A 14,733-nucleotide genomic window follows, 5' to 3' on the forward strand; every position below is an offset into this window, starting at 1 on the left:
GTTCCCAGACTGGAGTACAGTGGCACAATCTTGGCTTGCTGCAACCTCCGCTTGGTTTACCAAGTAAAATAACCCTGGGTTCAAGCGAGTCCCCTACCTCAGCCTCCCGAGTAGCTGGGACTACAGGCACGTGCCACTATGCTTGGCTAATTTTTTGTATTTTAGTAGAGATGAGGTTTCACCATGTTGGCCAGGATGGATTCGATCTCCTGACCTCGTGATCCGCCCACCTGGGCCTCCCAAAGTGCTCGGATTACAGGCGTGAGCCACTGCACCTGGCCAATACAGGCGTGTTTCAAAGAATTCAAGGACAGGAAGTAGAGCCCAGGATCATGAGAAAGTGGAAGCACTTGATCTGGTTGGCTCATTCTGGTTTCATTGGCTACCTTCAACCCAATCAGCTAAAGCTACAAAGTCAAAGCATAGTACAAACATGTCATCTGGGATCTATCCTTGTGGTTGACAAAGTGGGGACAGTTTCCATAGAACGGGGTCTATGGACTAGGCAGACAGCCCCCTAAGTATCTATTATAGAATTTTCTGGAGGTTGACAACATGCCCTTTAAGTGATTCAGTGGTTTTCATTTATGTTTATGGCCCTCTTCTCATGACCCTCCTCAAGTGTGCCAACCAATATAATAATTGGCAGCCCCAATCTAGGAACTGGGTGAAATGTTTTCCAGGAAAACACCAGTGGGACTTAGATACCTGCAAGGGCCTCTTGCCCCGGTATGAACATGCTAGCTTCATTCCCTCCTGCACACCTGACCGTATCTGGGTATTTGGAGGTGCCAACCAATCAGGAAATCGAAATTGTCTACAAGTCCTGAATCCTGGTAAGTAGCCAAAGGTTATTTTATTTACGTACATACAAATAAACTTTCATGCACACACACACACATATATATAAATCCAATTATAATTCCAGTACATTTGGATTATACTAATTACCATTTAACTTTGCTGACATAGAAAATAGGAATTTTAACTTGTAGCATAATCTGAAAACAACAGAATAAAAACAATTGTTGGTAACACATACAATTTTTAACTTGTTAAATGTCAAAGCTGGAAGGGACTTCAGAGAACAGCTATATCAAGTGGGCTACTCAGGTTTATCAAGGGCAAAGTGACTTTCCTAAAGTCACAAGAGGCCGGGCATGGTGGCCCATGCCTGTAATCCCAGTACTTTGGGAGGCTGAAGAAGGCAGATCACTTGAGGTCAGGAGTTTGAGATTGGCCTGGCCAGCATGGTAAAACCCCCATCTCTATTAAAAATAGAAAAATTAGCTGGGTGTAGTGGTGGGCGCCTATAATCCCAGCTACTCAAGAGGCTGAGGCAGGAGAATCGCTTGAACCCGGGAGGCGGAGATTGCAGTGAGCTGGGATCATGCCACTGCACTCCAGCCTGGGCGACAGAGTGAGACTCTGTCTCAAAAAAAAAAGAAAAAGAAAAAAAAATTTTTTTAAAAATAAAGTCACAAGAGAGTCAGTGACTGAGCCAGGCTTAGAACCCAAGTCACCTAGATTAGTAGTCCTCCAGTAAAGGCGATTGTGCCCCCGGGGGACATTTGGCCATATCTGGAAACATTTTGGGTTATCACAACTGGGGGTAGCGTGGGCTACTGGCTTCTAGGGGGTAGAGGCCAGATATGCTGTATATATATCCTGTCGTGCCTAAGACAGCCATCACAGGGAAGAATTGTCTGGTCTAAAATGTCAGTAGTGCCAAAGTTAAGAAACACTGACCTGGATCCTCCTAGTATGTTTCTTTTAGCCAAAAGTACAAAGTTCCTAACTTGTCTCACTGGCAAGACATTTTGTTTGTTCGTTTTGTTTGTTTGTTTTTGTTTTTCATATCTTGCTGTTTCCATCACTGGCAGTTTTATTATAGAGGAAGCAGTTTGGGAACGTCGCTACTGAGAGGAGGTTGCTAAACCACCTGTGGGGAAGTGGACTTGTCTTTTTGCCTTTTGTTTGTTTGTTTTTGTTTTTCTCTTTACAAATATTATTTATGTTCATTGTAAAATATTTGAAAAGTACAAATAAGTGGAAAAAGTCATCCACAATCCATTATTATATTAAGGCTATTACCAATTTTCTGTCTTTTTTTTTTTTTTTGTGACGGAGTTTCACTCTTGTTGCACAGGCTGGAGTGCAGTGGTGTGATCTCGGCTCACCACAACCTCTGCCTCCCGGGTTCAAGTGATTCTCCTGCCTCAGCCTCCCAAGTAGCTGGGATTACAGGCATGCGCCACCATGCCTGGCTAATTTTGTATTTTTAGCAGAGATGGGGTTTCTCCATGTTAGCCAGGCTGGTCTCAAATTCTTGATCTCAGGTGATCCGCCCACCTCAGCCTCCCAAAATGCTGGGATTACAGGCATCAGCCAATGTGACCGGCCCAGCTTTCTGTCTTTTTCCTGTCTTTTCTCTGTTTTTACAAGCCTGAGATCATACTATATTTACACATTCATAACTTTTTCCTTTTAATTTCATAATCCCAGGAGAAATAGGTGGGTTTTTTTTTTTTGGCTTTAGCAAAAATAATTGATTTGTTATTAATAACAATGCTTTGTTAATATAATATCATTTGTTTGTTTTTTTTGGGTTTTTTTATTGTTGGTAACTTTTTTTTTTTTCGAGGCAGGGTCTCACTCTGTTGCCCAGGCTGGGATGCAGTGGTATGATCACAGCTCACTGCAGCCTCGACCACCCAGGCTCAGGTGAACCTCCTACCTCAGCCTCCCAGGTAGCTGGGACTACAGGCGCTTGCCACCATGCCTAGCTAATTTTTTTGTATTTTTTGTAGAGACAGAGTTTTGCCATGTTGCCCAAGGTGGTCTCAAACTCCTGGGCTCAAGCAATTTTCCTGCCTCGGCCTCCTGAAGTGTTGGGATTACAGACATGAGCCACTGCACCTGGCCAACATCATTTTTAATGGCTGTATCATACTCCATTATATATAAAATACTCCATAATATCATAACTTCTCCATTTATGAACATTTAGTTCTTTTCAGGTTTTTACCATTATAATTAACAAAGCAGTGAACATCTTCATTCAGAAGTCATAGACTGTATTTCAAATTATTTTCTTAGGGTTCCTGCCAAGAAATAAAAAGGCTAGGTAAAATACTGTGAACCTTTTCAAGGTTTTGATACATACTACCAAATTGCTCTCCAGAAAGATTTTTCCGGTTTATCCTCTCTCCAACTGTGTTTAACAGTGTTTCTTTCATTACTGACCAGCACTGAATTTATCAGTTTTAAACATTGCTAATTTGATAGGCAAAAAAACTTGTACATAGTTTAAATATGCATTTTGGGCCGGTGCGGTGGCTCACACCTGTAATCCCAGCACTTTGGGAGGCTGAGGTGTACAGATCACCTGAGGTCAGGAGTTCCAGAGCAGCCTGGCCAACATGGTGAAACCCTGTCACTACTAAAAATACAAAAATTAGCCAGGCATGGTGGTGCATGCCTGTAGTCCCAGCTGCTGAGGAGGGCGAGGCAGGAGGATCGCTTGAACCCTGGAGGCAGAGGTTGCAATGTGCCGAGATCATGCCACAGCCTGAGCAATGAGTGAGACTCTCTCTCAAAAAAGCATTTTTTGACCTGGACATTTTTCACATGTCAGCCAACTCTTGCTCAGTTCCCTCTATCAACAATATATTTGGGGTGTTGCCCACCTACTACATTTGTTGAGTATTGCCCGATAAAAAAATTAAAATTAAAAAAAAAAACTATTGTACAATAGTTGGTCAGAGTTCAGGAACTAGGACCAAATTTTCTTATATGTCAAGTATTTAAATTCCTTCAGCACATTTAGACAGTATGTTATCTTTTAATTTGATTTATTTGTTTGGGTATTTATTTCCTGTCTTCCCTCCTCTTCCATGCCCTCCCTCTGTGGAACATAAGCGCTTTGAAGGGAAGAGTTTGTTTATTGTTGAATACTCAGGGTACAGAACACTGTCCGAAATAAAGTAGACACGGCCGGGCATGGTGGCTCATGCCTATAATCCCAACACTTTGGGAGGACGAGGAGGGCGGATCAAAAGGTCAGGAGTTCCAGACCAGCCTGGCCAACATACTGAAAGCCCGTCTCTACTAAAAATACAAAAGAAAAAATTAGCTGGGCTTGGTGGCAGGTGCCTGTGGTCCCAGCTACTTGGGAGGCTGAGGCAGGAGAATCGCTTGAACCTGGGAGGTGGAGGTTGCAGTGAGCCGAGATCGCGCCACTGCACTCCAGCCTGGGTGACAGAGTGAGACACCGTCTCAAAAAAAAAAAAAAAAGAAGAAAGTGATAGAGTAGACACTTGGCAGACCATTTGGCTAATTGTGAAGCCAATTTGCTTGGAGGACTAGCAGTATAATATGGTGCTTAAGGGCACAGATGAGGGTCTCTGTTTTGCTATGCACTAACTATGACCTTGGACTAGTGATTTAACCTCTCTCTGCCTCTGTTTTCTGTCACATTGGATAGTAATAGTTTCTACCTTGTTAATTTGTCAAGGATTTAAATAAACTCAGTATCTGGCACATAATTAATGCTCAGTAATTGTTGTGGTAGTTGATGTAGTTAAGGTTTGGCAAAGGGAAATCAGTTCTGGAACCCTGGCCTTTTGATTTTCAACAATGGTATCCATTGAAATAAAATAAAGTGAGAATTTGGAAAGCTGTCAAAGAGGGTGATTTTATTTTATTTATTTATTTATTTATTTTTATTTTTGAGACAGTGTCTCACTGTGTTGCCAAGGCTGGAGTGCAGTGGCGCAATCTCAGCTCACTGCATCCTCCACCTCTTGGGTTCAAATGATTCTCCAGCCTCAGCCTCTCGAGTAGCTGGGATTACAGGCACATGCCACCATGCCCAGCTAATTTTTATATTAAAGAGGGTGATTTTCTATCATATCCCTTTTCTCTCCTAGAAAATATAATTTGACATCATGCCCAAGAAATATGAAATATGTACTTAGTTGCATTTGTTACCAAGGCAAGTCCCTCAAATGCTCAGGACTCCTTTGTGATTCTTTGTGCTGGTGTTTGAGTTGGCAGGAATACAGCCCTAGGGTCTTCTGGGCCTGGAGGTGACATGTATACCTTTCTAGCTCCCTCTAAGATCCAAAAGCTCTCCAACATCTGTAACTATAGAGACAGCTACATTTTGCTTTGGATATAGGCTGAGACTTTTTCAGTCTCCAGGTCCCCATTTGAGTCCCACACATATTACAGATGTTTCCTGTAGCATTTTATATATTGGATGTAGACCTTTTACAAAAGACAGAATTTCTTGGTGTGTTATGGTAGAGCAAGTGTGGGACTCTGATAGAACTGAGTTCAGGCCCGGCGCGGTAGCTCACGCCTGTAATCTCAGCACTTTGGGAGGCCGAGGCGGGCAGATCAGGAGGTCAGGAGCTCGAGACCATCCTGGCTAACACGGTGAAACTCCGTCTCTACTAAAAAAAAAAAAAATACAAAAAATTAGCCGGGCATGGTGGCGGATGCCTGTAGTCCCAGCTGCTCGGGAGGCTGAAGCAGGAGAATGGCGTGAACCCGGGAGGCGGAGCTTGCAAAGTGAGCCGAGATCGCGCCACTGCACTCTGGGCTGGGAGCCACAGCGAGACTCCGTCTCAAAAAAAAAAAAAAAAAAAAAAAAAAAGAACTGAGTTCAAACTCCTGCTCTGCTACGCACATATGCTATAACCTGCAGGAAAGGATTTAAATGTGCAGAGCTTCAGTTTCCTCATCTAAAAGTAGAGATACTTCCGCTCACTTCCCAAGCTTGAGTGAAGACACCAGGGATGGCAGTGCCCAGGGCAATGATGCTGCCCATTGAGGGTGCTCAATTAATGCATCTGCTTCTATAAAACCCAGGTTCATCCTTAAAAGAAATAAGCTTCTATACATCTATCTAGGTGGTGAAATTTTATTCTCCAGTCAGAGGAGTGGGAATTAGAAAGATCTTGGTGTTACTGAAAGAGTTTAAATTCCAACTCAGCCATTTCTTAGGCATGTCACTTTATCTGTCTCTCTCTCTCTCTCTTTCTCTCTCTCTTTCTTTGCCTTATTCTGTAACCCAGGCTGGAGTTGCAGTGGTGTGATCTTGACTCACTGCAACCTCAACCGCTGCAGGCTCAGTATATCCTCCCACCTAAGCTTCTCAGGTAGCTGGGACTATAGGCATACGCCACCACACCCGACTAATTTTTTTTTGTATTTTTTTGTAGAGACAGGGTTTTGCCATGTTGCCCAGGCTGGTCTCAAACTCCTGGGCTCAAGCAATCCACCTGCCCCAGCCTGCTAAAGTGTTGGGATTACAGGCATGAGCCACCGAGCCTGGCTAGCCATGTCTCTTTTAAAAAGTTACTTAATCCATCCCTACTTCAATTCTCTTACCTGTAAAATGCGGAAATTAATATTTGTTTAGCATTTACTGTTTAGTAGGGACTGTTATTACTGCTACTGAAATGTAATAGTATTGTCTTTTTTTTTTTTTCATTTCTTTCTTTCTTTTTTTTTTTTTTCAAGATATGGTCTTACTCTTTTACCCAGGCTAGAGTGCAATGGCACGATCATAGTTCATTGCAGCCTCAAACTCCTGGGCTCAAGCAATCCTCCTGCCTTGGCTTCCCAAAGTGCTAGGGTTACAGGCCTTACAGCCACTGTGCTCAGCCTAATTTTTTTTAATTTTTAATTTATTTTATTTTATTATTATTATTTTTTAAGATGAAGTCTCGCTTTGTCAACCAGGCTGGAGTGCAGTGGCATGATCTCAGCTCACTGCATCCTCCGCCTCCTGGTTCAAGTGATTCTCCTGTCTCAGCCTCCTGAGTAGCTGGGATTATAGGTCCCCACCACGACACCTGGCTTTATTTATTTATTTATTTATTTTTAGTAGAGATGGGATTTCACCATGTTGGCCAGGCTGGTCTAGAACTCCTACCCTCAAGTGATCCACCCACCTTGGTCTCCCAAAGTGCTGGGATTACAAGCGTGAGCCACTGCACCCCTGGCTGATTTTTTGTAGAGACAGGATATTGCTTTGTTTCCCAGTCTGGTCACAAACTCCTGGGCTCAAGCAATCCTCCTACCTCGATTTCCCAAACTGCTGAGGTTACAGGTGTTAGCTGCTGCACATGGCCTGCCTACTTTCTTTTATTGGCCACATTTTCTGGGAAATCTGGCACACCTGGACTCTGGCATCTAGTGGGAATGAATGTTAGCAGATGTTAGGGGGAGCGATAGTGAGCAAAGTAGAAGAGGGTTCAGAGAGGATATTTGAAGGCCTCCAAAACAAATTGACCTCTTTTTTTTCTTCTTTTTTTTTAATATGGAGCCTTGCTCTGTCACCCAGGCTGGAGTGCAGTGGTGCAATCTCAGCTCACTGCAACCTTCACCTCCTGGGTTCAAGCGATTCTCCTGCCTCAACCTCCTGAGGAGCTGGGATTACAGGTCCCCACCACCATACCCGGCTAATTTTTCAGATTTTTAGTAGAGATGGGGTTTTACCCCATGTTGGCCAGGCTGGTTTCGAACTCCTGACCTCAAGTGATCCGCCCGCCTTGGCCTCCCAAAGTGCTGGGATTACAGGCATGAGCCACACTGCACCCAGCCTGACTCCATTCTTGTGCTTACAGCTTTTAAATCTTGGGGATTTTGGACTGTCTTGGCAAATCCTAAGTATCATCTTCATTCTTCCTTGATGTTTGTGAGTATGAGATCCCTGCCCAAAACTATGCTGGCCCCCCTGGGGATTGGAGTTTGGAAACTGACTTCACTCAGCCCCAGAGTCAAGGTCAGAAGCCCCTCTACCTGGATATTTTAAGTGCCTGCATTCTCTCTGGCCCAGAAACCAGGACGTGGACCACGCCAGAAGTGACCAGCCCCCCACCATCCCCAAGAACATTCCACACATCATCGGCAGCCATTGGAAACCAGCTATATGTCTTTGGGGGCGGAGAGAGAGGTGCCCAGCCCGTGCAGGACACGAAGCTGCATGTGTTTGACGCAAGTATGGACTGGTGGGCACCTTGGGGCTGGTCAGGGCCATCCCAGTTTACACATTACCTAATATAGGAAGCAGAAGTTAGAAAAGGAAAGCCTGACTAAGTGTCTCACTTCTAGACTTCTTTGTTATATCTCTTAGCTGATATCTTTTTCCCACAGCAAAATTGGCATTTAAAAAGGGATAGTGAGGCCTGGCATGGTGGCTCACACCTGTAATCCCAGAGCTTTGGAAGGCTGAGGCAGGTGGACCGCTTAAGGTCAGGAGTTCGAGAACAGCCTGGCCAACATACCTTTTCTCTACTAAAAACACAAAAATTATCCGGGCATGATGGTATGCACCTGTAATCCCAGTTACTCAGGAGGCTGAGGCAGGAGAATCGCTTAAACCCAGGAGGAGGAAGTTTCAGTGAGCCAAGATTGGGCCACTGCACTCAGCCTGGGCAACAGAGCAATACTCCATCTCAAATAAATAAATAAATAAATAAATAAATAAATAAATAAATAAAACTAAAAAGGTAGGCCGGGAACGGTGGCTCACGTCTGTGATCCCAGCACTTTGTGACGCCCAGGTGGGAGGATCACCTGAGGTCAGGAGTTTGAAACCAGCCTGGCCATCATGGCAAAACCCCATCTCTACTAAAAATACAAAAATTGGCCGGGTGCAGCGGTGGGTGCCTGTAATCCCAGCTACTCGGGAGGCTGAGGCAGGAGAATCACTTGAACCCGGGAGGCGGAGGTGGCAATGAACCAAGATCGTGCCATTGCACTCCAGCCTTGGCAACAGAGCGAGACTCTCTCAAAAACTAAATAAAAAAATAAAAAGGTATAATGATCAAGTTAAAAAGTTTAAACCATACAATTTATAAAGTAAAAAAGTAAAAGAAAGAATAAGAAAGACAAAAAACAAACAGAAGTAAAAGATTCCCCTTCAGCCTTTCCTTTCCCCGCCTCAGGTACATGCCTGGGTGATTTTTTTTCTTTTTCTTTTTTTTTTTTTGAGATGGAGTCTCGCTCTGTTGCCCAGGCTGGAGTGCAGTTGCCCGATCTCGGCTCACTGCAACCTCCGCCTCCCGGGTTCAAGCGATTCTCCTGCCTCGGCCTCCCAACTAGCTGGGATTACCAGCATGCACCAACATGTCCATCTAATTTTTTGCGTTTTTAGTAGAGACAGGGTTTCACCATGTTGGCCAGGCTGGTCTTGAAGCCTGACCTCAGGTAATCTGCCCACTTCAGCCTCCCAAAGTGCTGGGATTACAGGCTTGAGCCACTGCACCCGGCCAGATTTTTGTATTTTTATTGTAGAGATGCAGTTTTGCCATGTTGCCCAGGCTGGTCTCAAACTCATGAGCTCAAGCAATCTGCCTGCCTCTGCCTGCCCACCTCTGCCACCACACTCAGCCAAAATTTTTACCTTGCAAAGTAAAATTGGGAAAATTAAGAGATAGCACATTCCCAAGCCAGAGTATTTGGGAAAAAAAAAAAAAAAGACACATCACAGTGTGACTTTTCTCTTTCCAGAAAGAATGGGCTTTGTGATTCTTTTAAAGCAGTTTTAAAAGTTTAAATAATATTGGTTTTGAATATATAAAACTATAAGGAACAAGAAAAAAAACATATGTATGTGTATATGTGTGTGTGTGTGTACATGTGTATGTACTATCACCCCAAAATTAAATTACTGTTAACATCTCAGTGTATTATCAATCTTTTTTTTTTAAGAACAGAGATAATTCAAACCAGATGTGGTGGCTCACGCCTGTAATGCCAGGACTTTGGGAGGCTGAGGAGGGCAGATTACTTGAGGTCAGGAGTTCAAGAGCAGCCTGACCAACATAGTGAAACCTCGTTGCTACTAAAAATACAAAAAATTAACTGGGCGTGGTGACGCACACCTGTAATCCCAGCTACTTGGGAGGCTGAGGCATGAGAATCACTTGAACCCCGGAGGCGGAGGTTGCAATGAGCCGAGATCTTGCCACTGCACTCCAGCCTGGGTGAGGGAGCAAGACTCTGTATCAAAAAAAAAAAAAAAAAAAAAAAAGGACAGAGATAATTCTATATGTTACATTTGCATCCTATATTTTTCACTTAAGCATTGTTCCATGCAATCAGAAAGTCTTCACCAGCATTTTGAAATGATGATTATTATATAAATATTAGAGTCAGGGTCTCACTGCATTGCCAAGGCTGGTCTCAAACTCCTAGCCTCAAGTGATCCTTCAGCTTTGGTCCCTCAAAGTGCTGGGATTACAGGCATTGAGCCACACCACCCGGCCTTCACCATCATTTTTAATAAGTGCTTAGGCCAGGCGCGGTGGCTCACGCCTGTAATCCCAGCACTTTGGGAGGCAGAGGCGGGTGGATCATGAGGTCAGGAGTTCGAGACCAGCCTGGCCAAGATGGTGAAACCCTGTCTCTACTAAAAATACAAAAATCAGCCAGGAATGGTGGCGGGCGCCTATAATCCCAGCTACTCAGGAGGCTGAGGCAGCAGAATTGCTTGAACCCAGGAGGCAGAGGTGGGTGGATTACCTGAGGTCAGGTAATCCTGGGCAACATGGTGAAACCCTGTCTCTACTAAAAATACAAAAAATTAGCTGGACGTGGTGGCAGGTGCCTGCCTGCCACCCTCTGCTGCAATCCCAGCTACTAGGGAGGCTGAGGCAGGAGAATCCCTTGAACCTGGGAGGTGGAGGTAGCAGTGAGCTAAGATCACGCCACTGCACTCTAGCCTGGGTGACAGAGCAAGGCTCTGTCTCAAAAAAATAAATAAATTTTTTAAAAAGTGTGTAATATTTCCTCATGGCTATACTAATAATTAAACCTGCTCATGGACACTTAGGCTATTTCCAATTTTTGTCTATTATAAACAATACTGTAATGAACAAGCCAGGTATGCTGACTCATGCCTATAATCCCATCGGCTCAGGAGGCTGGAGGACCGCTTGGGCCCAGGAGTTTGAGGATGTAGTGAGCCATAATTGCACCACTGCACTCCAGCCTTTGCAGTAGAGCGAGACCCTGACTCTAAAAAAAAAAAAAAAAAAAAAATGCTATAAGGAACATATTTATGCAGAAACCATTTCAGGTAATTTTAAATTAAATTCCTTGGGACACTGGGGACTCCTTGAACAACCAGCAGGCATACCATAAACAGTAATTCAAAGACAAATTGTTTGGCAGACCTTTGTTTCAAAGAGTTTTTGCAGGCTGGGCGCAGTGGCTCATGCCCGTAATCCTTTGGGAGGCCACTTTGGGACACCAAAGCAGGTGGATCCCTTGAGGTCAGGAGTTCAAAACTAGCCTTGACAACATGATGAAACCCTGTTTCAACTGAAAATACAAAAAATTATCCAGGCATGGCGGCAGGTGCCTATAATCCCAGCTACTCGGGAGGCTGAGGCAGGAGAATCGCTTCTCCTGGAGGAGGCAGAGGTTGCAGTGAGCCAAGATCGCACCACTGCACTCCAGCCTGGGCAACAGAGCAACACTCTATCTCAAAAAACAAAAACAAAACAAAAAAAAAAAACAACAGAGTTTTTGCAGTACTCCTTTAAGACTTTTCTGGTATATAGAAATGATTAATTTTCCAGAATTCTATATATGTACAGCTTTGAAGATAAGAAGGGTTGCCTGTAGTAAAACGTAATAATCATCATATTCATAACTCTCATGTATTGGGTACTTTTTTTTCCTTCATGCTTTATGTATATTATCTCATTTAATTCATACCTCAGCTCTTAAAAGTAGGTATTGTCTTTTTTTTTTTTTTTTGAGATGAAGTCACGCTCTGTTGCCCAGGCTGGAGTGCAATGACACAATCTTGGCTCACTGCAACCTCCACCTCCCGGGTTCAAGCAATTCTCCTGCCTCAGCCTCCCGAGTAGCTTGGACTGCAGGCACATGCCACCACGCCTGGCTAATTTTTAAAATATTCTTAGTAGAGATGGGGTTTTACTGTGTTAGTCAGGATGGTCTCGATCTCCTGACCTCGTGATCCGCCCATCTTGGCCTCCCAAAGTGCTGGGATTACAGTCATAAGCCACTGCGCCCGGCCAGTATTGTCTGTATCCTTATTTTACAGCCATAGAAACTGCAGCTTAGAGAAGTAATTGGTGAAAGGCCACATAGTTATATAGTGAGATAACCTGGTTTCAGCTCCAAATCCCATATTCTAACCATTATCCTATACTGCCACATCAGGAGTCCCTGCTAACTTTTATTTAAGACTAGTCTGTTTTTTTCCCCAACCCCTTCAGCAAATCAATTAAGTCTAGCAGGATGCAGTGGTGTGTGCCTATAGTCCCAGCTACTTGGGAGGCTGAGGTGGGAGGACCACTTGAGCCTAGGAGTTCCAGTCCAGCCTGGACAACATAGCAAGACCCCATCTCTAAAAATAATAATAAGACTGGGTGTGGTGGCTGACACCTGCAATCCCAGCACTTTGGGAGGCTGAGGTGGGTGGATCACTTGAGCCCAGGAGTTCAAGACCAGCCTGGGCAACATGGTCAATCCCTATCTCTACTAAAAATACAAAAATTAGCCAGGCATGATGGTGTGCACCTATAATCCCAGCTATTTGAAAGGCTGAGGCAGGAGAATTGCTTGAACCTGCGAGGCAGAGGTTGCAGTGAGAGCCAAGATCGTGCCATTGCACTCCAGCCTAGGCAACAAGAGCACAACTCCATCTCAAAAAAAAAAAAATGGCTGGATGCAGTGGCTCATGCCTGTAATCCCAGCACTTTGGGAGGCCCAGGGGGGTGGATCTCTTATGGTCAGGAGTTTGAGACTAGCCTAGCCAACATGGCAAAACCTCAGCTTTACTACAAATATGAAAAAATTTAGGATGGGCGCAGTGGCTCATGCCTATAATCCCAACACTTTGGGAGGCTGAGACAGGTGGATCATTTTAGGTCAAGAGTTTGAGACCAGGTTGGCCAACATGGTGAAACCCCGTCTCTACTAAAAATACAAAAATTAAGGGCCAGGAGTGGTGGCTAACGCCTGTAATCCCAGCACTTTGGGAGGCCGAGGCGGGCAGATCACGAGGTCAGGAGATCGAGACCATCCTGGCTAACACGGTGAAACCCCGTATCTACTAAAAAACATACAAAAAATTAGCCGGGCTTGGTGGTAGGCACCTGTAATCCCAGCTACTTGGGAGGCTGAGGCAGTTGACTCACTTGAACCTGGGAGGCGGAGGTTGCAGTGAGCTGAGATTGCACCATTACACTCCAGCCTGGGTGACAGAGGAAGACTCTGTTTCAAAAAAAAAAAAGAAAAAGAAAAAGAAAAAAAAAAAATTTAGCTGGGCGTGGTGGTGCACACTTGTAATCCCAGCTACTCAGGAGGCTGAGGCAGGAGAATCGCTTGAACCTGGAAGGCAGAGGTTGCAGCAAGCCAAGATCGCACCACTGCACTCCAGCCTGGGTAAGAGAGTAAGACTTTGTCTCAAAAAAAAAAAAAAAAAATTAGCTGGGTGTGGTTTTGGGTGCCTGTAATCCCACCTACTCAGGAGGCTGAGGCAGGAGAATCACTTGAACCTGGGAGGTGGAGGTTGCAGTGGGCGAAGATCGCACTTGTGCATCCTAGCCTGAGCAACAGAGCAAAACTCTGTCCCCCGACCCCCTGCAAAAAAAAAAAAAAAGTTGAGTGCCACTGACATAGACAAGTAACTTGTCCAAATATTAGTCATTAAGGGATGAAATTGTTATTGAAACATTACTTATAAAATAAATAAATAACAAGGCTGGGCACAGTGGCTCACACCTATATCCTAGCACTTTGGGATGCCGAGGTGGGCAGATTGCCTGAGCTCAGGAGTTTGAGACCAGTCTGGGCAACATGGTGAAACCCCGTCTCTATGAAAATACAAAATATTAGATGGGGCCGGGCACGGTGGCTCACGTCTGTAATCCCAGCACTTTGGGAGGCCAAGGTGGGCGAATCACGAGGTCAAGAGATCAAGACCAGTCTGGCCAACATGGTGATACCGCGTCTCAATTAAAAATAGAAAAATTAGCTGGGGGTGGTGGCATGTGGCTGTAGTCCCAGCTACTCGGGAGGCTGAGGCAGGAGAATTGCTTGAACCGGGGAGGCGGAGGTTACAGTAAGCCGAGATTGTGCCACTGCACTCCAGCCTGGGCGACAGAGCGAGACTCTGTCTGCAAAAAATAATAATAATAAATAGAAGCCAGGCGTGGTGACTCACGCCTGTAATCCCAGCACTTTGGGAGGCCAAGGTGGGCAGATCACCTAAAGTCAGGAGTTCGAGACCAGCCTGACCAACATGGAGAAACCCTGTCTCTACTAAAAATACAAAAATTAGCTGCATGTGGTGTTGCATGCCTGTAATCCCAGCTACTCTGGAGGCTGAGGCAGGAGAATCGCTTGAACCTGGGAGGCAGAGGTTGCAGTAAGCTGAGATCATGCCATTGCACTCCAGCCTGGGCGACAAGACCGAAACTTTGTCTCAAATAATAATAATAATAATGATAATAATAATACATTAAATAAATGAATAACAAGAAGATGACTCTGAAGGGCTGTCACAGAAACAGACTCATTCATTTTGACTTTGTGGCAGTTTTAGTTTGAAGCTAAAGAGGAGATCGTTTTTATTTCATAGCGAGAAATGGCTTCCGGGTGCTGAGTAGAAGGGGCAGGCATGTTTGGTAGTGGGCTCTCCAGCCCTAGAAGCATGCACGCAGAGCCTCTGTAGGA

At 44.7% G+C, this 14,733-nt stretch overlaps 1 protein-coding gene across 9 annotated transcripts in view; it reads left to right on the forward strand.

Annotated features, from left to right (window-relative positions):
* RABEPK (Rab9 effector protein with kelch motifs) overlaps positions 1 to 14,733 on the forward strand; it is a 33,620-nt gene that overhangs the window by 12,145 nt on the left and 6,742 nt on the right. For 5 of the 9 annotated variants that reach the window (NM_005833.4, XM_017014177.2, NM_001174152.2 and 2 more), the window contains 2 exons: positions 684 to 836; positions 7,853 to 8,014. The exons of 1 other annotated variant lie outside the window; for it this stretch is intronic. In NM_005833.4, the coding sequence (NP_005824.2) occupies positions 684 to 836; positions 7,853 to 8,014 (315 nt within the window). The remainder of the gene's footprint in view (positions 1 to 683; positions 837 to 7,852; positions 8,015 to 14,733) is intronic. 3 more of the 9 variants (NM_001174153.2, XM_005251641.5, XM_005251642.5) reach the window with 2 other exon arrangements.

This window comes from Homo sapiens, chromosome 9, assembly GCF_000001405.40.
Source record: "Homo sapiens chromosome 9, GRCh38.p14 Primary Assembly".
Taxonomy (NCBI): Eukaryota; Metazoa; Chordata; class Mammalia; order Primates; family Hominidae; genus Homo; species Homo sapiens.